The sequence below is a fragment of the Homo sapiens genome, chromosome 2 (genome assembly GCF_000001405.40).
Source record: "Homo sapiens chromosome 2, GRCh38.p14 Primary Assembly".
In the NCBI taxonomy this organism is placed as follows: Eukaryota; Metazoa; Chordata; class Mammalia; order Primates; family Hominidae; genus Homo; species Homo sapiens.
This window is the reverse complement of record NC_000002.12, coordinates 241460361-241485750: the sequence shown is the minus strand read 5'-3', so window position 1 is coordinate 241485750 and position 25390 is coordinate 241460361. Positions and strand designations below refer to the sequence as shown.

At 50.9% G+C, this 25390-nt stretch overlaps 1 protein-coding gene, 1 non-coding gene and 1 pseudogene across 13 annotated transcripts in view, besides 3 other annotated features; all 3 read right to left on the bottom strand.

Annotated features, from left to right (window-relative positions):
• Positions 1-25390, bottom strand: part of FARP2 (FERM, ARH/RhoGEF and pleckstrin domain protein 2) — a 138557-nt gene that overhangs the window by 9091 nt on the left and 104076 nt on the right. For 9 of the 12 annotated variants that reach the window (XM_047446511.1, XM_011512233.1, NM_014808.4 and 6 more), the window contains 7 exons: positions 23139-23228; positions 22283-22416; positions 21771-21852; positions 17374-17611; positions 9764-9894; positions 2218-2286; positions 1420-1509 (listed from right to left, as the gene is read on the bottom strand). In XM_047446511.1, the coding sequence (XP_047302467.1) occupies positions 1420-1509; positions 2218-2286; positions 9764-9894; positions 17374-17611; positions 21771-21852; positions 22283-22416; positions 23139-23228 (834 nt within the window). Of the gene's footprint in view, positions 1-1419; positions 1510-1532; positions 1982-2217; positions 2287-9763; positions 9895-17373; positions 17612-19722; positions 20292-21770; positions 21853-22282; positions 22417-23138; positions 23229-25390 lie in introns of those variants that run through there. The other 3 variants (XM_005247050.4, NM_001282983.2, NM_001282984.2) reach the window with 3 other exon arrangements.
• Positions 1707-2207: an enhancer, noted in NCBI's record as "H3K4me1 hESC enhancer chr2:242422959-242423459 (GRCh37/hg19 assembly coordinates)". NCBI's record gives its function as "activates a minimal SCP1, AML or CMV promoter by ChIP-STARR-seq in naive H9 embryonic stem cells {active_cell/tissue: H9 hESC(naive)}" and the evidence as "EXISTENCE:reporter gene assay evidence [ECO:0000049][PMID:30033119]".
• Positions 2208-2708: an enhancer, noted in NCBI's record as "H3K4me1 hESC enhancer chr2:242422458-242422958 (GRCh37/hg19 assembly coordinates)". NCBI's record gives its function as "activates a minimal SCP1, AML or CMV promoter by ChIP-STARR-seq in naive H9 embryonic stem cells {active_cell/tissue: H9 hESC(naive)}" and the evidence as "EXISTENCE:reporter gene assay evidence [ECO:0000049][PMID:30033119]".
• On the bottom strand, positions 6562-7441 carry KCTD5P1 (KCTD5 pseudogene 1; annotated as a pseudogene).
• MIR3133 (microRNA 3133) lies at positions 7769-7846 on the bottom strand. The gene has a single exon (NR_036083.1). It is a non-coding gene; the product is annotated as a microRNA 3133 (primary transcript).
• Positions 16839-17401: an enhancer, noted in NCBI's record as "H3K27ac-H3K4me1 hESC enhancer chr2:242407765-242408327 (GRCh37/hg19 assembly coordinates)". NCBI's record gives its function as "activates a minimal SCP1, AML or CMV promoter by ChIP-STARR-seq in primed H9 embryonic stem cells {active_cell/tissue: H9 hESC(primed)}" and the evidence as "EXISTENCE:reporter gene assay evidence [ECO:0000049][PMID:30033119]".

The window sequence follows — 25390 nt, the reverse complement described above, 5'->3', positions numbered from 1 at the left end:
GGGAGCAAAGGAGGACCCCAGGAAGGGAAGATCCTAGGGAAGGAGGACCCCAGGGAGGGAGATCCCAGGAAGGGAAGATCACAGGGAGTGAGGGAGGACCTCAGGGAGGGAGGACTCCAGGGAGGGAATATCCCAGGGAGAGAGGACTACAGGGAGCAAGGGAGGACTCCAGGAAGGGAAGATCCTAGGGAAGGAGGACCCCAGGGAGGGAAGATCCCAGGAAGGGGAGATCACAGGGAGTGAGGGAGGACCTCAGGGAGGGAGGGAGAAGCCGATGGAGGGAAGATCCCAGGGAGGGAGGGAGGACTCTAGGAAGGGAAGATCCTAGGAAAGGAGGATCCCAGGGAGGGAGGACCACAGGGAGGGAAGATGCCAGAGAGGGAGGGAAGATCCTAGGAAGGGAAGATCCCAGGGAATGAGGGAAGATCCCAGGAAGGGAAGATCCCAGGGAGGGAGGGAGGACTCTAGGGAGGGAAGATCCTAGGAAAGGAGGATCCCAGGGAGGGAGGACTACAGGGAGGAAAGACACCAGAGAGGGAAGACCACAGGGAGTGAGGAAGGACCTTGGGGAGGGAGGGAGGACCCCAGGGAGGGAAGATTACAAGAAGGGAGGATCTCAAGGAGAGAAGATCACTGACAGGGAGGACCACAAGGAGGGAGTGAGGACCACTGTAGCACTGTAGTCAAGGCAAATAAGCCAAGAGGGATAGGGCAGAGCTGGGGATTAGAGCCCCTGTCCTTGGCGCCCTGGCAGGCCCATGGGGAGAGACAGTCACTGTGACGTGGTGTCCTGGACGAATGGCACATCCTTATGGCAAGTCCTGGACTTGGCTACCTGTCTGTACCGTTCTAGGCCTAGTGCAGGGACACGCTCAGGGCAAGTGGACATAGCCTCTAGAGCTGCATGAAAGTCTCCCCATGACCTGAGAACAGTATTTCTATTGAACACAAAAAGCACTAACCACAAAGGACAAAGTTGATGAACTGGATCATGCTAAAATGAGGAATTTCTCTTCCCATCCCAGGCATGTGCCTACATGGGACAGAGGGCTGGCATGGATGTCACACAGGTGGCACAGCCTGAGGAAGATGCTGCTGCAGAGGCTGACTCTAAGCTTGCGGGGAGCAGGCCTTGTCCTGCCAGGTGCTGACAGAGACCACAGGCTGAGTCCAGGTTTCCCTAGAAGGGAACCATGGACTAGAGACAGGGCAGTTTGAGCATCAATAACAACAATGACCATGAGGGTCAGAAACAACCAACAAGAAATGCCCAGCAGGTGCTGCTCCCAGTGCGGCCAAATACTCAGCAGGTGCTGCTCTCAGTGTTGCTGGGTAAGGATTCGCCTCTGCAGGAGAGAGGTAGGTGGGGCCCAGCCCAGCACCACGTGGAAATCCCAGGCAGGGTGCAAGACCACTCACCAGCATGCCTTGGAGGGGAAGGAGGCCCCGGATCCGGAAGTGGCTGGTCCCTGCAACTCCTTTGCTTGTGTACAGCAACATATCTGAGAACTGAGAAGCAGCAAGCTTTACATCCATGAACTTCACAAACAAGTGTCTTAATAGTCAGACCAACTTGGACTCTGGCTGCTCATCATGTGGACATCAGATCTGTGCAGCTTGCTGGAGATTTTTGGCAGAAAGGGGACTTTTATTCATTCATTTGGTCGTTTTTGACCAGAGGCAGGAAAGGGCCACAGGAACCAGTGCATCTGCTGGGTCAGCTCCCAGCTAGCTTGGCTGAGAAGCTGGAGGCAGTAAGGAATTCTGGCTGGTGCTGACTCAGTTACCTCCTCATCCACATGTTTCAGGCTGGAACCCACTAACTGGTAGGAACAAGGACATGCTGGGAGGGGCTTCTGAGCCAACAGTGAAACTGTCCCGACTGGCCATTGGGCCATCAGTAGCACCTTCTTGCAGCCACATGTATGTGGACTTTACAATCTTTTGGCTTCTGTTTGTCCCATAGTCAGGTGCTCAGAACCTGGAATGAAGAAGGAGGCTGGCCCTGGGGTGGGTGGGGAAGCTGTTTTCTGCTTCTTCCCACTCTGTGACCCTCCCCTGGCCCTGTCTGACTCCAACGCTACCCACCTGGACCAAAGCCTCCAAGTGCTAAACTACCCAGAGGCCAATGGGCTGCCGCTGCAGGCGATGTCCCTAACAGAACTGCTGCCCATCCCCCTCGGGGGGAAGCACAGCTTGAGTGGGGAGAGAACCTACCAGAAAAAACATCCTCTGCTGCAGGCCCTTCTTGGTGAGCTTGTGAAGGCAGCCCTCACGGATGAACTCCTGAAAGACAGAGACAGAGTCCCCTTTCAGCGGGCTGAGGGCAGCTGGCGGATGCACTAGCCGGGCTGAGGGTCAGGAATAGCCTTGTGGCCGCTTGTGCTCCTCTGGCTCCTCCCAATGAGGGTCCTCTAGTGGAGCCTCCCAATGGGGCTCCTCTACCCTCAGCAGTGCCCTTGGTCACCAGGTCCTGTCTTGGTGCCAACAAATTCAGTCCTCAAACCATCTACTGAGCACCTGCTCTGGGCTAGGAGCCCTGGAGCCCTGATACAACCAAGAGGTAGAGCCCGGAGTATTGTTCTTGCTGAGGAGAAGCTTCTGGAAGGTTCAGCCACAAAGATGTCATCTGAGATCAGCTTTGAAAACATTGGACAGGAGCAGGTTCGAGAATGGGAGGAGGAAAGGAGGGTTCTCCTAAGTATTCAAATTAGCACCAGGAGCAGGTTCGAGAATGGGAGGAGGAAAGGAGGGTTCTCCCGAGTATTCAAATTAGCACCAAGAGCAGGTTCGAGAATGGGAGGAGGAAAGGAGGGTTCTCCTAAGTATTCAAATTAGCACCACCTCGTCCACCACAGGGCGTTAGATAAGAAAAAAGAATCCTGCCAGTATCAGACACCTGCGCAGATAGGGTAAGCGAGAGTCCTGGGAGCCCCTCAGATTCCTAACCTGGACTGCTCTGGAGCCCTTCCACCATCTGTTCCTTTCAGACAAACAGGAGGAGCAGCAGGTGTCCGGAGAATGTGCTAGGGGCCTCCTAGTATGAGCAGTCCCAACATACTGCGTGAAGGCAGAAGGAGGAGCACACTACACAGATAATCCTCACAGAAACGCAGGATGAAAAACCAGCCCAAACAGAAACGTCCACCCCACACAATGAAGAAGGTGGTCATATGGATGCATTTGCGTTAACTGGATGGGGCCGGTAACTAAGCTTGTGGCTCTCACTCCACATCTGCCTCCTAGCCCTACTCTGAGAGGCCACAGGGGCGTGACAGGGAGCCCTGGAGACCGCACGCCGAGGTCCCTGTGAGCTGCTGGCAATTGCTTGGCCCTGGGAGTGGCCGTTCCTTCCAGCCACAGGTAGCAGCATCACCCTCAGAGACCCCAGCACTGGCTAAGCAGCAGCCCCCTCTCCAGAGCTCCCTCACAGGATGTGCGTCCCAGACCCACGGGGCGCCTTCTCCACCATGCACTGGCCCCGCTGCCAGCTGTGAGGCTCAGCACCGTGGGCCTTTGACCAAGCTGTCAAATTTGTTCCCCAGCCCTAGGGTAGTAACTGTGGCTCACAGTTCTGCCACCTCCCTGACACTTCACAGTTCTTTTTACCCTTTGGCACCTCATCAACTTTATACCTGGTTAACAATCCTTGCTATTACATCCTCTGCTCAAATAACTGGCATGGTTTCTGTCTGTTGACTGACACACATATTTAACTCAGGAAGACAAGAAATTCTGGGCTATCCAGACATGACTTTAGAGATTTTGACTAATAATAACAAATTATTATTTGAATTTGCACAGCATCTACTTCATGCAAGGCCCAGGGCTGAGCAGCTGACATAGATTCCCTGTTCATCCTCAAGACCTCCTGCCTCAGAGAGGGGGCGCAGCCTGCCCAGGCCACATGGGAAGTGTGGAGAGCCTGAGTTTGATGCATGGCTCAAGAGCCTACACCTTTGCCTATGTAGCTACTCTCAACTGTCTTTTCATTGACAGTTCCCTGGGCCACCATCTATAAGACCCAGTGACAGTTCCCTGGGCCACCATCTATAAGACCCTGCACAGAGGTTACTAGGAGAAATAACACTATGTAACATGAGCCCTACTTCCAGGAGTTCCCAGCCAGCAGCAACAGCTCAAAGCTATGCAGCCAAGGAGAGAAATGAAAGAGTGGTGGTCCTAGCACCTGATCAAAGCCCAGACTCCCAAAGTGGGGAAGGTTTCCTGTATATTACAGGCTAATTCATTTCTCCAAGCTTGCAGTTCCACATTTTCAATACCTTCTTCTAACAAGGCTAACACAGAACATGATTCATACACATGCTTCAATGAACATGTGTGTGCAGAGACAGGAAACATCTCCATGTAATTTTTAAAACAATTTTTTATGTTGAGAGTATTGAGTTCAAAGCAAAAAGTACTAGTGACAGAAAGTAACTGGCCCAATGGACATATAGACCATGGGATAGAATCAAGAGTCCAGAAATAAATCCATATGTTTACAGTCCATTTATTTTTTTGTTTTTGTTTTCACTCTGTTGCCTAGGCTGGAGTGCAGTGGTACGATCACGGTTCACTCTAGCCTTGACCTCCTGGGCTCAAGTGATCCACTTGCCTCAGCCTCCTGGGTAGCTGGGACCACAGGTGTGTGCCACCATGCCAGGAATTTTTTTTTTTTTTTTTTTTTTTTTGGTAGAGACAAGGTATCAGTATGTTGCCCAGGCTAGTCTCAATCTCCTGGCCTCAAGTGATCCTTCTGCCGTGGCCTCCCAAAGTGCTGGGACTATAGGCTTGAGCCACTATGCCCAGCCCCCATTGAACTTCTACAAGGGTTACATGGCAGACAGTTCAATCAATGCTGCCGGGAAAACTGGACCTCCACATGCAAAAGAATGAAGTTGGACTCCTACCTTCCACTATACACAAAAACTAACTCAAAATGGATCAAAGATTTAAATGGAAGAGGTAAAACATAAAACTATTAGAAGAAAAGAAACAGAAGGGTAAATCTTCATACCCTGGGTTAGGCTTTCTTTCTTTCTTCCTTTCTTTTTTTTCATAAATACACAGTTTTGTTTGCTATTTTCAGGGGAAACTTAGGCATTCAACTATAAGCTGATAAAATACCATACCTAAAAAAGTATAAAAGTATAAATATCCCCTTAGAATAAATTTTAGTGAATTGTCTTAATATCTTTAAATTTAAAAAAAAAAACACAACACAAGCCTATCTATTGTATCAAGGTCAAAAATCAAACAATGCTAAGGGGCCAGCAGCTCCCCAGAGAGTACACCCTGAGGGCCCACAGTGGCTGCCTTCCTCCAGAGCTCTGCTGGGGAGGACAGGTCATCCCATGGCTAAGTCTGCCCTCTAGAAAGGCTTTTATAAATTGTCTAAGCCAAACATTTAACAGCATACAAGAGACCTTACAAAGAGGAGGTGGTAAGTCCTAATGCTGGAGAACTTGGTTAATCAGGTTATTGGCAAAGAAGAAGATGAGGCCTAGGCAAGAAGTCTCCAGAAGCACTGGAAACCAGACAGTGTCAGAGCCTCTGACCTGCACATGGGCAGCTGGTGGTCAGTCTGCACAGTGCCCCTTGGGAAGCTGGAGTTCCAGAAACAAAGAGCTTGGAGCATGCCCTGCACCCCAGGTCCCCAGACTCTGACAGGTCCCTACAACCAGCTGAGAAAGGTCTGTTTTCAAAGCATGTGGGCAGTGGTTTCTAAAAGAATCCTATCAGCTCCCATGTCATGTTGGGTGGAGCCCAGGAAGGTCGACTGAAGTCCCAAACATCCCAGAAAGGCTGCACAGTTATACAAAGAAAATGAGAGAGTGGTGAGAGAAAGGCATTTGTGATGCTCCATAAACATCTCGAATTTTCACTGTGATCCAGACCTTCAGCTCCAGAAGCCAGCAGACAGGCTTCCAGCCCAACCTCTATGCCAGGAGCGACATGGCACTGACAGGCACCAGCTCCCCCGTGAGCCCACAGAGTGGGGGACAAGGCAACACTGCTACCTCACGCTAACGGGTTGAACAGATCAGTCTGAATGCAGCAATCCTTGTGGGCACTTCCAGAGTATAAGCACTGGGGAGTCTATCCACACTGAAAAGGGGTACAAAGTTCTCTCGCCTGGAAAATACAAATTGAAAAGCCTTGACTGTCCCAGGCTGAGTCAGGCAGGATCATAGCCTGTGTCGGAAAGAGGCCTGGCCTTGAAACGGCACTCAGAAGTAGTGATGATGCAGAAGCCACCTTTGTCAGGAGCTCTGTGAGGCTGATAGCAACCAGCGATCCCACCTGGGAGGCAGAGCAGACTCCTGACTGAGCCTAAGGCCTGGCAGCCAGACCCGAGGCCACGGCGTGCTGGATGCCGATGAGGCCGTGGCCGCTTCCTGCCAGTGAAGCGCAGGCTGCTTTTACAGACTATGTGTAGTACCAAGAACTCTGTCCTTTACATGATCTTCGGGGATTGAGTGGGCTGACTGGGAGCATCTGCCTCAGTCTCTGGCCCCCCTCAAGAGATAGTACCCACCTGGCCAGAATGCTCCTCCCCTTGGGGACACCTGGCCTTGGACAGCTGGACCTGTCTCTCACCACCCACCTCAGAAGCACAAAAGGATTCACACCCAGATCTCTAGAAAAATGATCAAAAGCAGGTTCCTTCTCGCAGCCAAGCTTCCTGGACATGGTAGTTCATTGCATCTTGGGAAAGAGTAAATCATTTTTTCAGCTGTCAATACTGTGTCCCTCACATCCTTGAACCTTGTTCTTGCAAAATCTTGGCCTTCTTTCTGGGTTCACTGGCCATACTGTATGGGGTGTTGTGAAGTTTCTTGGACACCACATAGAGGAACTTGGCCTGATCTTCATTCCCATAGTTGTAAGAAGAGCCATTGCTGACCAGTTGTTCAAACTTCCAGCTGTCGGACATGGTGGACACCACCTGTGTGAGTTCCTCCTCCTGACACTGAAGCACGTGGTACACATGCTTCATGGGCACCTGTGATGTTTTGCTCTCTTGTTCTCTAATTTTGTCCTTTACAAGTTTTATTAATGAAGTGATACTGTAAAATTCTGCTTTTTCCAACACTCCTTCCTCCACAAGGTCTTTGTTAATCACCAGCTTGCCACGTCTCAGGTAGTTCAACACAGGCCCAAAATAGGTGGGGTCTCTGTCCATTAAATAGGCAACAGTTTCATCCTTGTCGGGGTTAGCCTGATACAAGGAGTACAGGAAGTATTTCAGGTCCTGGCACAGCATCTGCTGGGTGGTGAGAAAGTAGGTGCCACCAATGTTGAGCCAGAGCCATTTGGACAAGCTACCGGGTGCTGGGCCACGGCACTCTGAGTCTTGCACTGCAGCAGCACAGGTCGCCCCCGCCAGCCCTGCCCTAAGGCTGCCCCAGGCAGGTGGCAGTGCTCGCATTAATTCCTTTTTTTCTGAGACAGGGTCTCACTCTGTTGTCCAGGCTAAAGTGCAGTGGTGGGATCATAGCTCACTGCAACGTTGAACTCCTGGGCTCAAGCAATGCTCCTACCTTAGCCTCCCGAGTAGCTGGGTCTATAGGTGTGCACCGCTACACTTGGCTGACAATAGTTTCTTAGATATAACATCTAAGACACAAGCAACTAAAGAAAAAAAATAGATAAATTAAAAGCTTTCATGTTGTAAATGAAGGCCACATCAAGACAGTGAAAAGACAACCCACACAATGGGAGAAAATGTTTGCAAATCATAGTCTGATAAAGGTCTAGCATTCAGAATATATAAAGAACTCTTAAAACTCAACAGGTTGTCTTTTTACTATTGGGTTTTAAGAGTTCTTTACAATTTCTGAATAAAATAAAAGGTGGGCAAAGGATTTGAATAGACATTTCTCCAAAAAAGGCCTACAAATGGCCAATAAGCACATGAAAAGATGCTCAATATCATTAGCTATCAGGGAAATACAAATTGTAACCACACAAGACAGCATTACACACTCACTAAAATGGCTAGAACCAAAAAGTGACACATGATGTGAGAAACTGGAAGTCTCATACGAGTTGGTGGGAATGAAAAATGGTTCAGTCACTTTGGAAAACAGTTTGGCAGTTCCTCAAAATGTTAAACATGGAATTACCATATGAACCTGTATATGGTATATACTCAAAACTGAAAACATAAGTCCACACAAAACTTGTACATGAACGTCCACAGCAGCACTATTCGTAACAGCCAAGAAGTGGAAATAACCCAGTGTCCATCAGATGAGTGGAGAGACGTGTGATACATGCATGATGGAGTATGATTCAGCCACAAAAAGGAACATGAGGCCGGGCACGGTGGCTCATGCGTGTAATCCCAGCACTTTGGGAGGCCAAGGTGGGTGGATCACAAGGTCAAGAGCTTGAGACCATCCTGGCCAACATGGTGAAACCCTGTCTCTGCTAAAAATACAAAAATTAGCTGGGCATAGTGGTATGTGCCTGTAGTCCCAGCTACTTGGGAGGCTGAGGCAGGAGAATCACTTGAACCTGGGAGGCGGAGGTTGCAGTGAGCCAAGATCGCGGCACTGCACCCCAGCCTGGTGACAGAGCAAGACTCTGTCTCAAATAAAAAAAAAAAAAAAAAAAAAGGAACATGAATGAACCTTGAAAAGATTATTCTGAGTGAAAGAAGAGTCACAAGAGGCCACATTAATGTGTGATACCATTTCTATGAAATGCCCAGACAGGTAACTCCTTAGAGACAGAAAGCAGATCAGTGGTTGCCAGGGGTTAGGGAGCAGAACGAGGTCCCCACAGAACAGCATCCCCACCCAGAACAGGGTTACCTCAGAACAGAGTCTCCTGAGAACAGGGTTCCCTTCAAAATAGTGATGGGAAGTGACTGTTAATTGCTGTGGGGGTTTCACTTTGGGGTGATGAAAATGTTCTGAATTCGACATTGATGGCTACATAACCTTGTGAAGATACTAAAACCCACTCAATTATATATTTTTTGTATGTATGTATGTGTGTATGTATGTATATATGTACCTATTTTATTTTATTTTATTTATTTTATTTTGAGACGGAGTTTCGCTCATGTTACCCAGGCTAGAGTGCAATGGCGTGATCTTGGTTCACTGCAACCTCCACCTCCCGGGTTCAAGCGATTCTCCTGCCTCAGCCTCCTGCGTAGCTGGGATTACAGGCATGTGCCACCATGCCCTGCTAATTTTTTGTATTTTTAGTAGAGACAGGGTTTCTCCATGTTGGTCTGGCTGGTCTCGAACTCCCAACCTCAGGTGATCTGTCTGCCTTGGCCTCCCAAAGTGCTGGGATTACAGGCGTGAGCCACTGTGCCTGGCTGTATTTACTCATTTTTAACAGAGACAGGGTCTTGCTCTGTTGTCAGGCTGGAGTGCAGTGCTGTGATCAGGGCTTACTCCAGCCTCGACCTCCTTGGCTCAAGCGATCCTCCCATCTCAGTCTCCTGAGTAGCTGGGACCACAGGTGTGCGCCACCACACCCAGCAATTCTTTTTTTTTTTTTTTTTTTTTAATTCATAGAAATGGGGTTTCCCTGTGTTGCTCAGTCTGGTCTTGAACTCCTGGGCTCAAGCGATCCTCCCACCTCAGCCTCCCAAAGTATTCAGATTACAGGTATGAGCCACTGTGCCTGGCCAAAATTATACATTTTAAAATGGTGACTTTTGTGGTATGTAAATTATATCTCAATTGAAAAACCAAAGTAGCTCAAAAAACATTCCCAGAGCAAGGTCACTCACCCTGCCAGGAGCAATGAGGTTCTCTATGCCCACCAGGTCCCGCTGCAGCTCCGTTAGCTTCTGCAGGTTCTCCAGCCGGATGAGAATGTGCTGTAGTGTGGTGGTCACCTCTGTGATGGCTTTCAGGGCGTCTGTGTGGAGAGACCCCTCAGTACAGGTGTACAGGCAGTGGTGTGCACAGCACCCTCCACCCACCACCTTGTGACAGGAACCAGCATTCTAAAAGGCAGTTCTAATTAGAGGTACATCCTACTCGACTCCTTATAGCAGCGGTCCCCAACATTTTTGGTACCAGGGATGGGTTTCATGGAAGACAATTTTTCCACAGACCAGAGGTGGTAGGAATGGTTTGGGGATGAAACTGTTCCACCTCAGATCATCAGGCATTTGTTAGATTCTCACAAGGAGCATACAAACTAGATCCCCCACATGTGCAGTTCACAATAGGGTTTGTGCTCCCATGAGAATCTAATGTTGCTGCTGATCTGACAGGAGGAGGAGCTCAGGTGGTAATGCAAGCAATGGGGAGTGGCTGTAAATACAGAGAAGCTTCACTTGCCCGCCACTCACCTCCTGCCGTGTGGCCTGGTTCCTAACAGGCTATGGACTGGACTGGTACTAGTCCATAGCCATGGGCACTGGGGACCCCTGCCTTATAGGACTTATAGGACTGCTGCCTACTATGTGCAGCCACCAGGCGCCTGCTCCTGCAGATACCCCTGAGGCCTTCAGGTTGTTCAACCCAAACTGTTGGCCAGCCCATATTCTGGTTTGGCAAAGAGGATAGGCTTTGTAAATAACCATTTAATGTTATGGGTAAGGCAGTATTTGCTCTTAAAGGAAAATGATTTATTGTACTTTAAAGGCTAAATGATTTGCACCTTCAAAGCAATTGTAACTTTCTCTTTTAACCAGGAACAGATGCTAATCTTATAGTTCAAGCAAAGATAAGAGAAAGTTTATAATCTGGACAGGAAACTTAAAACACAAAGTTATACTAAGAGTGGTCTGCCCAGCTCTGAGGCCATGCTGAGAGTGGTGGCGTAGCATAGCTGAGCCTGCTCCCAACTCTGATGATGCCTGGAGCACAGGGTCTGCATCCTCCTTGCTGGAATCACTCATGGGGACCACTTTCCCCCTTCTTTCTTTTTATTTATTTATTTATTTATTTATTTATTTATTTATTATTATTATTAGAGACAGGGTCTCACTCTGTCTCCCAGGCTGGAGTGCAGTGGCACGATCTTGGCTCACTGAAACCTCCGCCTCTCAAGTTCAAGCAACTCTTGTGCCTCAGCCTCCCGAGTAGCGGGGACTACAGATGCCCGCCACAACGCCTGGCTAATTTTTTGTATTTTTAGTAGAGACAGGGTTTCACCATGTTGGCCAGGCTGGTCTCCCACTCCTGACGTCAGATGATCTACTCACCTTGGCCTCCCAAAGTGCTGGGATTATAAGCGTGACCCACCATGCCCGGCCACCTTCTCCCTTGTTTCTATCATGACTCCCTCTTATTTCCTGGCCACAAAGCTTCTCCATGACAAGGTCCACACCCCTCACCCAGCACTGCCCAGTGCTCAGCTCTAGCCCTGGGCAGATTTGTTAGCATGAAGTCACCTGACTGTTCCAGCTCTATCTTTTTTTTTTTTTTTTTTTTTTTTTTTTTTTTTGAGACGGAATCTCGCTCTGCGCTCTGTCGCCCAGGCTGGAGTGCAGTGGCACGATCTCGGCTCACTGCAAGCTCAGCTCCGCCTCCCGGGTTCATGCCATTCTCCTGCCTCAGCCTCCCGAGTAGCTGGGACTACAGGCACCCGCCACCACGCCCGGCTAATTTTTTGTATTTTTAGTAGAGACGGGGTTTCACTGTGTTAGCCAGGATGGTCTCGATCTCCTGACCTCGTGATCTGCCAGCCTCGGCCTCCCAAAGTGCTAGGATTACAGGCGTGAGCCACCGCGCCCGGCCTGCAGCTCTATCCTTTCCAGTGGGGGTGACAACAGCCCCTTACAGCTTTCAGAGGATAAAGTCAGAAAAGAATGAAGTAGGTGAAGAGATCATCATTGACAAAGAAAATTGACTGACAAAATTCACTTTCTGTCAATGATACCTGCATGACACTGAAAATGAGGAAGAACTTCAGTGAAGCCAGCATAGGTCTTGGCAGCTACCAACCCTATTGCTCTGTGCAGATTTCTAAGCTCCTGCCCCCATCCCCTGGCTCTCCCAGGCTGGCCATCCCTCAAGCACTTGGGTCTGAGCCCTTCCTTCCAGACATCATGTCAGGCAGAGACTCATCACGCCATGTCCATTTGCTGCATGGCTGCTTGAATCCACTCAAAGAGCACCAGTGCCACCCTGCCCTCAAATGCTGAGTCCACACAGTTGCAGGGCTGGGAGCCTGACTGCCACATGGACACTGTGCTGCACCTCGGTAGGGACTGGCAGCTGCTGGAAGCTCAGGACACATTTTGGACCTGATGGCACGATAATGATCCTATACATCACCTGACCTGCCTTGACATTCTCCACAGAACCCACAGAACAGGGTCTCCACAGAGTAGTGCCCCCTGCAGAACAGGGTCCCTCAGAAAAGGGTCCCTCTCAGAACATGGCCCCCACAGAATAGCATCTGCCACAGAACAGGGTCCTCTTGGAACATGGTCCCCTCAGAAGAGGGTACCTTCAGAACAGCATCTCACTCAGAAAAGGGTCCCCTCAGAACAGGGTCCCTATAGAGCAGGGTCACCACAGAACAGGGTCCCCTTAGAAAAGGGTCCTCACAGAACAGAATCCACACAGAACAGGATGCCCACAGAACAGAATCCCCCACAGAACAGAGTCCCCTCAGAAAAAGAGTCCTCATAGAACAGGATCCCCACAGAACAGCGTCCACCTCAGAACAGGGTCCCCAGAGAACATAATGCCCTCACAACAGGGTCCCCTCAGAACTGCATCACCCTTGGAACAGAGGCCACATAGAGCAGCAGCCCCCTCAGAACAGGGTCCCCACAGAAAAGGATCCCTTCAGAACAGGGTCCTCTCAGAATAGCATCCCCCTCAGAATAGGGTCCCCTCAGAACAGCATCCCCCTCAAAAGAGGTTCCCCTCAGAACAGGATCCCTCTCAGAACAGGGTCCCCGCAGAACAGCATCACATTCAGAATAGCGTCCCCTCAGAACAGGGTGCCCTCAGAACTGAGTCCCTTCAGAACAGCATCTCCCACATAAAAGGGTCCCCTCAGAACAGAATCCACACAGAATAGGGTCTCCTCAGAGCAGCAGCATCCTCAGAACAGAGTCCCCTCAGAACAGAGTCCCCTCAAAACAGCATCACCTTCAGAACAGCGTCTACACAGAACAAAATCCCTACAGAACACGGTCTCCTCAGAATAGCATTCCCTTCAGAACAGGGTCCTCTCAGAACAGGTTCCCCACAGAACAGGGTCCTCACAGAATGAGATGCCCCACAGAACAGGGTCCCTTCAGATCAGAATCCCCACAGAACACCATAAAACAGGGTCCCCTCAGAACAGGGTCCCCACAGAAAAGAATCTCCCTCAGAACAGGGTCGCCTCAAAACAGCATCCCCGTCTGAACAGGATCCCCCTCAGAATGGCATCCCCCACATAACAGAATCCCCACAGAACAGGGTCCCCTGAGAACAGCATCTCAAGGAATCCAAGCAGGATTCCTTCATAACAGGATCACCACAGAACAGAATCCCCTCACAACAGGGTTCCCACAGAAGAGGTTCCCCACAGAACATGGTCCCCTCAGAACAGGGTTCCCATGGAACAGCATCCCCCTCAGAACAGGATCCCCCTAAGAACAGGGTCCCCTCAGAACAGGGTCCCCTCAAAACAGCACTACCCTCAGAATAGGGTCTCCACAGAACAGAACCCCCCCAGAACAGGATCCCCTCAAAATGGCATCCCCCTCCAAACAGGGTCTTCTCAGAACAGTGTTCCCAGAAAACAGGTTCCCCACATAACAGGTTCTCCTCAAAACAGCCTCCTGCTCACAACAGGATTCCTTCAGAACAGGATCACCACAGAACATAATCCCCTCAGAACAGGGTCCCCACAGAACATGGTCCTCTCAGAACAGGATCCTGACAGAACAGGTTCCCTTCAGAACAGCGTCCTCACAAGAACAAGATGCCCCACAAAATAGGGTCTCCGTAGAACAGCAACCCCGGCTGGGCGCGGTGGCTCATGCCTGTAATCCCAGCACTTTGGGAGGCTGAGGCGGGCGGATCACGAGGTCAGGAGATCGAGACCATCCTGGCTAACACGGTGAAACCCCGTCTCTATTAAAAATACAAAAAAAATTAGACAGGCGTGGTGTCGGGCGCCTGTCGTCCCAGCTACTCGGGAGGCTGAGGCAGGAGAATGGCATGAACCCAGGAGGCGGAGCTTGCAGTGAGCCGAGATCCTGCCACTGCACTCCAGCCTGGGTGACAGAGCGAGACTCCGTCTCACACAAAAAAAAAAAAAAAAAAAAAAAAGAAGAAGAGCAACCCCCTCAGAACAGGGTCCCCACAGAACACGGTCCTCACAGAATCAAATCCCCTGTAGAACAGGGTCCCCTTAGAACAGCATCCCACTCAGAACAGGGTTTCCACAGAACAGGATCCCCACAAAACAGGGTCCCCTCAGATCAGCATCCCCTCAGAATAGTGTCCCCTCACAACAGCGTCCCCCTCAGAACAGTATTCCCCGCAGAACAGGGTCCCCTCAGAACGGCATCCCACTCGGAACAGGGTCCCCTCAGAACAGTATCCCGTTATAACAGGGTCCCCTCAGAAGAACATCCCCCTCAGAACAGGACCCCCGTCAGAACAGAGACCCCTCAGAACAGAATCCTCCTCAGAACAGGGTCCTTCTCAGAGCAGAATCCCCCACAGAACAGGGTCCCCTTCAGAACAGCATCCTCCTCAGAACATGTTCCCCCATGACACTATTCCCCACTTAGAACGAGATCCGCTCAGGGTAGTGTCCCCCCCAGAATAACATTCCCCTCACATAAGAGTTCCCTCAGGGTAGTGAGCACCCAGAACAGGGTCCCCCTCTGAATAGGGTCTCCTCAAAACAAGGTCCTCTCAGAGCATCCCCCTGCGAACAGCATCTCTTCAGAACAGGGTCCCCTGAGAGCAGCATCCACCTGAGAGCAGAGTCCCCACAGCACAGTATCCTCCTAAGAACAGGGTCCCCACAGAATAGAGTCTCCTCAGAGTATGGACCCCTCCCTCAGAGCAGGGTCCTCCTCAGTCCAAGATCCCCTCAGAGTGCATCCCCATCAGAACAGGACCCCCTGAGAGCAGTATCTCCCTCATAACTGAGTCCCCTCAGAACAGTGTCCCCCTCAAAAAAGGGTCCCCCTCAGAAGAAGGTTCTCTTAGAGTAGTGTTTCCCTCAAAACAGAGTCCCCCCTCAGAACACTGTCCCCTTTAGAACAGAGTCCTCCTCCAACTATGGTCCCCTTAGAACAGAATCTCCTCAGAGCAGTGTTCTTAGAACAGGGTCCCCTCAGAATTGGGTCCCCCTCCGTCCAAGATCCCTTCAGAGCGCATCCCCATCAGAACAGGACCCCCTGAGAGCCACGTCCCCTCGTAACTGAGTCCCCTCAGAAAAGGGTCCCCCTCAGAACAGGTTCCCCCACAGCAGTAGGCAGAGCAGGTGCATGATAGAATGGATCAACAACATACACTTAACATCCAGCACCCTTGGAAACTCTCATCAAAATGAAGGATAAATAAAATTGCAAGGCTGGCTTCTGCCAGCCCCAACAAATGTACTCCCTTTTGTCCAAGAGAATTCTATTCAAGTTCTCAGGAAGACCAAGAGGCTGGTAACATTTGCACACCAAAGGCCATTTTCCAAGAAGGCCCTTCTTGACAAGCATTCCTGTGTCCCACATTTGGAGAGTGGGGTCATGGAGGGAAAGGAGCCTGCCATAGTGTCAGCTGAGAATGTTTCATCGACTGGGCTCTCACTGCGCTTCAGAGATGGCTGAGGTCTGAAGCAAACCTAGGGAGGCTGATGGTTATCAGTGTTCTGTTGAGTTGACAACTTCAAAGCACTTTCACAAACAGCTTCACAGAGGTTTTGCACCAGTCTATACATTTTACTGATGAAAAACCTGTCATGTTGTGAGGTACAGGAATCCCTCCAAAGTCCTATGTACCTCAAGCACATGGTAGATGTGGCCAGAACCTGGGCCCCAGTCTTCTCCATGGCATGGCTTCCCTGGTGGCCCGGGCCCAGGCCAACCTCTGCTCCAGCACTCTGCCTACCTAACTACTGTGGTATAATGACTGACAATGAGAAACATTTTAAACATGGTGTGGTTATGTCATGTTTTCCTTAAAATGTTTGAAAATGTTTTCTATAATTTTGTCCTTCTCCTTTTTAACAAACATGAAACATTTTCTTTTAGAATGAAAAGAAAGAGAATCGTCAACATTGTATGATCCATTCTATTTCTTGCTAATCAGAAAGCATCCTTATTTATATCTATTCATGGCTATGGGAAACCAGCTAGAGGAAATGCTAAGTATTTTTTCATCTATTTTTAATGACAATGATAAAATTTACTTGTAAAAACCTCCTCATGTGGTGGCTCACACCTGTAATCCCAGCACTTTGGGAGGTTGAGGCAGGCGGATCACGAGGTCAGGAGTTCGAGACTAGCCTGGCCAACACGGTGAAACCCTATCTCTACTAAAAATACAAAAATTAGCTGGGTGTGGTGGCGGGCGCCTGTAATACCGGCTACTTGGGAGGCTGAGGCAGGAGAATCACTTGAACCCGGGAAGTGGAGATTGCAGTAAGCCAAGATCACACCACTGAACTCCAGCCTGGGCGACAAGAATGAAACTCCGTCTCAAAAAAAAAAACCACAAAACCATAAACATAAACAAAAACAAAAACAAAAAACCTCCTGATAAGCATAAAGTTCCCATCAGAACACATCCCCATTAGAATAGGTCCCCATTAGAGCAATGTTCCCCTCATGCCTGAGTCATCTCAGAAAAGGGGACTAAATTTACAATAAAATTAGAAATCCTATTTTTAGGTTAAAAAGGTCAGAGTTTACTCTTTTATCCCTTTAATAAACATCAAAAATTACAAAGGCTGCCTATGTTAAAAACTTCTAACAGGTCACCTTGGCCCAATCTTTTGTACGTTTTAGAGCCAAGGCCTCCAGGACAGAAACATCCATAGGCAGCAGGTTGCTCTGGGGGTTGCACCCCATTCCCCAGTGCACTTGTGGGGGCTGTGGGGTCCCCAGCAGGAGCATGCCCTGTGACTCCTGCAGGGCAATCAGAGTCATCCCCTACACTGCTCAGACGTGGAGATGGGCAGGGCCTTGCCTGAGGGTGGAGGAGCAGAATAGACAGAGACCTGGTGTAGCCTGGGACCTGCCCTCTGCCAGCAGCCAGAGGAGACGGGAAGGAAGGCCAGGGCCAATGCTGACCACTGTGGTCCAGGCCCTAATGGGGTGGACTCCTGCGCTTCCCAGTGAAGGAAGTCTTCAGGTCTGGCAAAGCCGCCCCTGCCTCCCAGCCACGCACGCTGATCCTTGAGATGCAGGGCCGCACCCACACTCACCATGGCAGTCAGCGTAGTCATGGTGCCCGGGGCTGTAATGTCCGCATAGGCGGCGCAGCAGCAGGCGGTAGTGCAGCAGCCGCTGGATGGGCTTCAGCAGGAACGTGTTGAGAGGCAAGTAGCAGACCTTCTGCAGCTCAAACTCCTTGTACACTGCCTCCAACTTCTTACAGCGTTTGGTAGCCTTTTCCAGTTCTGTTAGGACCTCGTCATGTCTTTGGAAGTAGCTGGTAAACTCCTGTGGAGGCGCAAGAGTGGGGCCTTTAGGTGAGGAGATGTAGGAGTCCAGGGGGAGACTGGCCTGTTTTCCTTGATGGCAGGTGCCGGCTGGAAATCCCCACAGGGCAAATGGACCAGTGGCCCAGCGTGCGCCAGCGGGGGCTTTCTAGCCTCCACGGAATGCATCTCAACCCGTCTCAGATGCCATGTGACCTGCACCTCATTCCACCAATTCACTGCTACATGCACCACTAACCGGCCCCATATCACATGCACTGAGTGGACCAGGGCCACCTCCCCACTGGACAGATGAAGAATTGAGGATGGGAAGGCTGCAGCTGGCTGCGTGGGACACAGTAAGGGAGTGCAGGGCAGGGGTTAAACAAAGCCCACCCGAGTCCTGCCCAGTCTTAGGGCTCGCTCCAGAAACTTCTCTCAAGAGTGGAACTAAGCGGTTGTGCTGGCACAGTTACTGGACAGAGGGAATAACCACACCTGACTTTTTTTTTTTTTTTTTGAGACTGGATCTAGCTCTGTCGCCCAGGCTGGCGTACAGTGGTGGGATCTTAGCTCACTGCAACCTCTGCCTCCCGGGTTCAAGTGATCCTCCCACCTTAGCCCCCCGCAAGAACAGGCATGTGCCACCACGCCCGGCTCATTTTTTAAATATTTTTTATAGAGATGGGGGTCTCACCATGTTGCCCAGGCTGGTCTCGAACTCCTGAGCTTAAGCAATCCACCCATCTCAGCCTCCCAAAGTGCTGGGATTACAGGTTTGAACCACTATGCCTGGCCCATATCTGATGATTTTACAACACATGTATACATGTATGTGGATTCTGAGTATTACACAGACATATTAAACTAAACTATTCTCTAACTTAAAGTTTTTTTGTTTGTTTGGATACAAGGTCTCACTCTGTCACCTAGGCTGGAGTGCAGTGGTGCGATCATAGCTCACTGCAGCCTCAACCTCCCTGGTCTCAGGTAATTCTCCTGCTTCAGCCCCCTGAGTACCTGGGATCACAGGCGCACACCACCACACCCAGCTAATTTTTGTATTTTTTGTAGAGATGGGGTTTTGCTATGTTGGCCAGGCTGGTTTCAAACTCCTGGACTCAAGCGATCCACCTGCCTCAGCCTCCCAAAGTGCTGGGATTACAGGCATGAGCCACTGCGCTCAGCTAAAGGGTTACATTTTTTTTTTTTTTAACAAAACACTTTTATTTGGTCCACTGGAGCCTGAGTCGGAAACCACTGTGGAGAATCCTATCATAAAGGAATGGGGACTGACAGTTGATAAAACAGCTTCTGTGTCACAAGAGCTGGCCGTATTTACATATTTAGGGGTTAAAAATATTCACAGTTCAGGGTACAGGGAGGCCAAAGGGGAGTGGGGAATGTTTCTCCAGGTGTAAAAGCTCTGGAAGCCCCTAGGAGGGTACGGGTGGTGGTGGTGGGGGGGGGGGTGGTTGGAAGGGGAGTGAAGGCGGGGCTGGCCCGCTGCCTGGGGGTGAGGGGTGGTGAGGGCCAGGTGGGGATGCAGGAAGCTGGGCTCAGATGTCTATGCATCCACACTCGCTAGGCTTCTAGCGGGAGGTGGAAGTGGCCAAGCCCTGCCGATGCCCATGATGGGCTGGGGTCCCTCTCTGTGGCAGGGCCGGGCCAAGGGACAGGGTTGGCTGAGGAGTCTGCTGGTCCCCGGCCTGCCTGGCAGTGGTGAGTGGTGCTGAGGACCAGTGCCCACCCACAGCGGGCCTGGCACCCACCTGCACCTGGTCATGGCTTCAATCCTGGCAGGCGCTCCAGGAGTTGTATAGTGTCGCTGAGGGGTGGCTGGCCAAGGGCCCCTCTTTCCAAGACAAGCACTACTCCGGGACTCACCACTCCACACCGGGGCTCCAGGGACCACACTTGCACTGTAGGGGGACAGGGGCCCGGGCTCTGGGGGAAAACTGACCTTATGCCCCGTGAGGGGGTGGTCCCTGATCCCAACCTGGGGTCTTGGCCTCTGACACCCAGATTTGGTTTTGTGGACAGAGCTCTTGGCTGCCTCCCCAGAGCTAAAGGGTTTTAATATCAAATCCCTTTGTTTTAATGAACATTAAAGATGACTACAGTATGATAATCTGGATCAAACAGATTTGTGTATATTTCAATTTTAAATTAGTGCAACTGCCTTTGGGATAAGTAGAACTTTCTCATTAACAACCTGACTCAGCTTCCGTCGAGGCAGGAAAAGGGCACCTAGGCTGAATGCAGTTCTTCAAGTGGGGCTATCTCAACACAGAACAGCAAAACCTATAGTCCCTTGGGAACTCTAGGTGTGAGGAGTGGCCAGAGTCTCGCAGGATTGGGTAGAAGGTGGGACAGGCGAGGGATGGAGGAGGGGGAGCTTGAGTCGTCGTCGTCACTGTGGCTCAGCTTCATGGTGTTATGCAGAGCTCCACACCTTGGGCGGTCACGTGGTGAACTCATGAGCAGCCTGAGAGGGAGGGAGAACTGTTCCAGGCACGTTAAGCAAGAGTGAGACCCCTGAACAGTCAATGCACGACCTGCACTGTTGTCCACATGTGAACACCTGTACCGTTGCTCCTATTGAAGAGAAATCTCACTTCCCCCAGTGCTGCCCCTGCCTATCCAAAAGTCTACTCCATTTTTGTGACCCCTGCTACATGCCCTTCGTGGAGCTGGAACACCTGAAAGAAAAACCTATGAGCCTAGCAGCCAAGGTGGAAACAAGTCCCAGGGCCCTGCCCTCCCCACAGCAGCTATGGGGACTCTGCCCTGAACAGGTCCTGCCCTGGGGAGGGGGGACTCTGTCCTGAGAATGATGTTCTGAGGAAGACTCTGTTCTGTGGGGAACCCTGATCTGAGGGAGGCCCTGTTCTGAAGAGGATGCTGTTCTGGGCAGACCCATTGAGGAGGACAATGTTCTGGGGGAGAATCCTGCTCTGAGGTGAACACTGTTCTGGGGGAGTCCTGTCCTGATGGAAATGGGGACACTGTCCTCAAGGGAATGCTATTATCAGTGGAGAAAAAGGTTCTGAAGAGAACAATGTTCTGGGGCTGGTAAGGGCCCTGATCTAAGGCAAACAATGTTTTAAGGTGGAGTCTGTTCTGGGGGTAGTTCTGATTGGAGGGAGACCATGTTCTGGGGGACCCTGTTGTGAGGGGTATGCTGTTTTCAGGGGCATCCTATTCTTGGAGAGCCCTTATTGAGGGATGCGGTGAGGAGGGAACTTGTTCTGAGGGAAACAGTGTCCTGATGGGGCCCTGGACATTGCCCTGAGCCAGACTCTTTTCTGAGGGAAACAAGATTCTGAGGGAGACCCCATCCAGAGTAGGATCCTGTTTGAGGAAGATAGAGTTCTGAGGAGACCCTGTTCTGAGGGTGATGCTGTTCTGGGGAACCTTGTTCTAATGGGAATGATGCTTCAAGGGAGACCCTGTTCTGAGGGGGCTGCTGCTCTGAGAAGGACTCTGTTTTGAGGGAACTTTATTCTGAGGGAATCCTGTTCTGAGAGCCTGAGGGGGATGCTATTCTGAGAAGACCCTGTTCTGAGAGGACCCTGTTTTGGGTGGACCCTGCTCTGGAGGGACCCTGCTTTAGGGGGGACTCTGCTCTGGGGAAACCCTGCTTTGAGTAGGAACCTGTTCTGAGATGGACTCTGTTCTGAGAAAATCCTTTTCTGAGGGGGCCCCTGTTTTGAGGGGTCCCCTGCTCTGAGGGGATGCTGTTCTGAGGGTACCCTGCACTAAGGGGACCCTGCTCTGAGGGGGTCCCTGTTCTGAGGAGACCCCGCTCTTAGGGGACCCTGCTCTGGGGGGACCCTGCTCTGAGGGGACCCTGTTTTGAGGAAACCCCACTCTGAGGGGAACCCTGTTCTCAGGAAACCTTGTTTTGAGGAGACCCTGCTCTGAGGGGGACCCTGGTCTGGGGGGGATCCTATTCTGAGGGGACCCTGCTCTGAGGAGACTGTTCTGAGGGGGACCCTGGTCTGGAGGGATCCTGCTCTGAGGGGGCCCTGTTCTAAGGAGACCCTACTCTGAGGGGGATCCTGTTCTGAGGGGACCCTTTTCTGAGGGGACGCTGTTCTGACGGGCCTCAGCTTCGGGAAGATGGTTTTGCTCCCATAAACAGCATTCATGTAGGCAGTAGTCACCATGCAGCCTACCTTTAACTGGCGCATGTTCCTGAGCAGGATGTCCCCGATTCGTTGATGACTGCCTTTTGTGTGGGCTTTGGAGGGCCCTTCCCTGAGTAAAAAGAAACAAAGTCATCCTAAACATGGTGAAAGCTTGCAGAAGGCACTGTAATCTGACGCAGGGTGACAGCTGCCTTGGTTCCAGCTGGAGGAAGGTGGTGAAGCTCTGAGGTGGAAGAGGCCGCAGGGCAGGGCCTGCCCTGGATGGAAGCTGCTATTATGTGTCTGGCCATTCTCTAAAACAGATAGTAACCAGGCAAAAAGGGATCTTCCATTTTTAACTTGCTCCTTGCACTCTCTTTTCTGGAAGAGGGTGAATAAAGGGTATTATTACATCTGTACCTCTCCCCACAGGCTCCTAAAAATATGCTCCAGTGAAAAAATGGCTCTTCTGAATTAGTTTCTGAAGCTGGGAAGTTCCTAAGAGCGGTGATGATGAGTTGGTGTGGGAGTCTCCCGTGTGGGGGCTGAAGGGGTGTTACCAGAGTGCCAGCCTCTGCTCCACCTCGCGCAGGAAGCCTCTGTGGAACTCATAGATGGGATCGATGTTGGAGAAGAGCAGCGTCATCAGAGTCGCAGGCATGGCGTCCTCCTTCACCACTGCGCTGCGGAACCACTGTGGGAAGAGTGTGGTGTGATGGGAGGTGTGGCTCTTGTTGGGGACTGAGAAACTGTGCCCCTGAGGGCCTGTAGCCATAGGTCACCCAGTGATGACCCTCCAGTCACCGCCTACAAAGAGGGTTCAGATCAGCACTACAGCCATCCTCTTTGTTGACCATCCAGTTTTCAAATATAATGAAACTATCCTACATCAAAAGTTTCAAATGGACACTTTGCAGCTTTATAGCTTCACAAAAACTTGGACCCAATGTTCTGACCTGACTTAGAATAGTTTTAAAACAGATATATTTAACAAAATATATACAAGCAAGTCTCATGATTATCAAGAGATATTTCTTGGCTGGGCGGTGGCTCATACCTGTAATCCCAGCACTTTGGGAGGCTGACCAAGGTGGGCAGGTCACTTGAGGTCAGGAGTTTGGGACCAGCCTGGCCAACATGGTGAAACCCCACCTCTACTAAAAATACAAAAATTAGCTGGGTGTGGTGGTGGGCGCCTGTAATCCTAGCTACTAGGGAGGCTGAGGCAGAAGAATCACTTGAACCCAGAAGGCGGAGGTTGCAGTGAGCTGAGATCATGCCACCGCACTCCAGCCTGGGTGACAGAGTGAGGCTCCATCTCAAAAAAAGAAAAAAAGAAAAAAAAGAGATATTTCTCTGTGTTCAGATGAGAGATTTATTTTAAAAAAAAATCAAAGTAATCAAGGACTTTCGTACCACGGTAATAACTTCTAAATCCTTGAGGTATGTTCGTTCTGTAGCGAGAATCTCTTTGACTATGAAGTAGGCCTCGTCTGCAGGCACGCGCTGAAAGAAGCAGAGAGCTGTAAGTGTGCGTCCCTGGGACATGGGACCCTCCCACGCTCAGGGAGCCTGAAGTTGGTAATGTTTGCTTTCTTCTGCTCAAGGTAACATCGTCATGGGGTTTTCACCTTCAACTTCTGAAGAGATTTATCCCTGAGTAAAAACATAATCCTGTTATTCTTTTGGAAAAAAGAATTGCTGTTCAAATATCACCATATGTAAACAGGGTTGAAGTTTATTATTGGTTTTGTGATAAAATCATTTTTTATATATCACTGCCAGTGGCATAGCTGGTTAGCAGACACAGGTCCATGAGTGTGTGTGTGCTTATAAATTATTAAACCTAACCCATACAAAAGTCATTAAAATGAGCAAACAGTGCGCATTCTAAGTGTGCCTGCATCAGAGCGCCAGACTTGCTGGTGCACTTCCTGATGCAGACGTGGAACATACCCCGGGCCCAGTTTTCCGTGCCCTGCTAGAGACAGCCCAGCCCTGAGCGATCCTATAGCTGGCAGGGCTATCTCTGCCCAAGGTGCTGGTGCCAAGCAGGCAAGCTGGCCATAGGGGACCCTCTACACCTCACCCAACACAGTGTTCCTGGCAAAGCACATGCCTCATGATGGCCTTGGCAGGCACTGGGTCCTGTCCCTGCAGGGCCTCTCCCCACCCTGAACCCTCCAAGAGCCACCCTCTGTTGAGGTAAAACTTAACAGCCTCTTCTCCGTCCTCTCCCTGCCCAGAAACCATGATCCTGCTCTGCCCTGGCAGCTCGCCTGCCCCACCTCCAGACTGTGGCCAGCTTCAGGGTAGGTGGGCCGTGCAAATATCCATGGAGCAGGTGTCAGCTCCGAATAGGCGCCTGGACACTGCCCCCTGCCCCTGTGAGGGTGTCCTACCAGGAGAAGACAGGCAAGAAGCACAGAGGGCTGTACAAGACATAACGCAGAGCAGAGGAGGGGCTGGAGGCTGGGGGACACAGTAGGCCGCAGCCTCACTCAGAGCAGACCGGGCAGCCTGTGGGACAGGTCAGAGGTCAAGGGGCTGGAGCAATGTGGGGAGGTCAGAGGGAATAGACAGGCTATTGGTGGGGAAGCAGGCCACGTGGGCCTTCTGGACCCTTTGGGGTCTACCTGAATGTGCTGTGACACACTTGGGCCCCAGGATGAGAGCAGACCAGGAGGGCAGAGAGGCTGCCGGTGGACCTCAGCACCACCCGGCGAGACAGCACTGGCTTGGGGGGCGCGGAGGGGTGAGGGGTGAGATCCTGGACACATTCTGAAGGTCCGGTGTGGAGGTAAGGTGTGAGGGTTGGAGGCAGGAGGGGTGACTGCCGCAGTTTTTGGCCTAAGCCAAGGGAAAGACCAGCTGCCATGACTGGAGGTTTGGGAGGAGTATCAGGAGCTGGGTTTGCAAGTGAGCAAGTAGCTGAGGTGGCATGTGGAGCCATGTCTTCTTCCTTGTACTGCTGTGAAGTTTAGCAGAGCCTGCAGGGTTGTCTACCCTCGTGGATGAGAGGACAACAGAGGCACATTTATCCTGTGAGTCCTGAGCCCATGGATATAGCCAGCTGTGAAGGGATAGCACCCTACAGTCTACTGAGATGCTGCTGCCTAGAGCCCTCCAGTGCCCAGGTGCTGTGCCTCCCCCGCCAGAGTCCTGCACACGTCCACTGCTGTTCTCTCAGCTCTTCCCCATGGCTGGCAGCCTGCCTGGCTCCCACAGCCCTGCCACCATGTGGCTCTGCCACCAGCTCAGCCCCCACCTCTTGGTGCACTGGCCTCCTCCCCACAGAGAAGCTGAACCACCTTTCCAGCCTTTAGGCTTTTTCTATTTTTTCTTTTTGAGCTTCATGATATTAAAAATGACTTTTTTATCTTTCAAATGAAAGGTTGAGCCCATCTTTCAAATCCAAATTCAGTAAAATCTCTTTACAAAGTCTTTTCTTGGCTGGATGTGGTGGCTCATGACTCTAATTCCAGCACTTTGGGAGGCTGATATGGGAGGATCACTCGAGGCCAGGAGTTTGAGACCAGCCTGGGCAACATAGTGAGACCCTGTCTCTTAAAAAAAAAAAAGGTTAGCCAAGCAGGTGGTCACACCTGTAATCCCAGCTCCTGGGAGCCTGAGTTGGGAGGATCACTTGGGCACAGAAGTACAAGGCT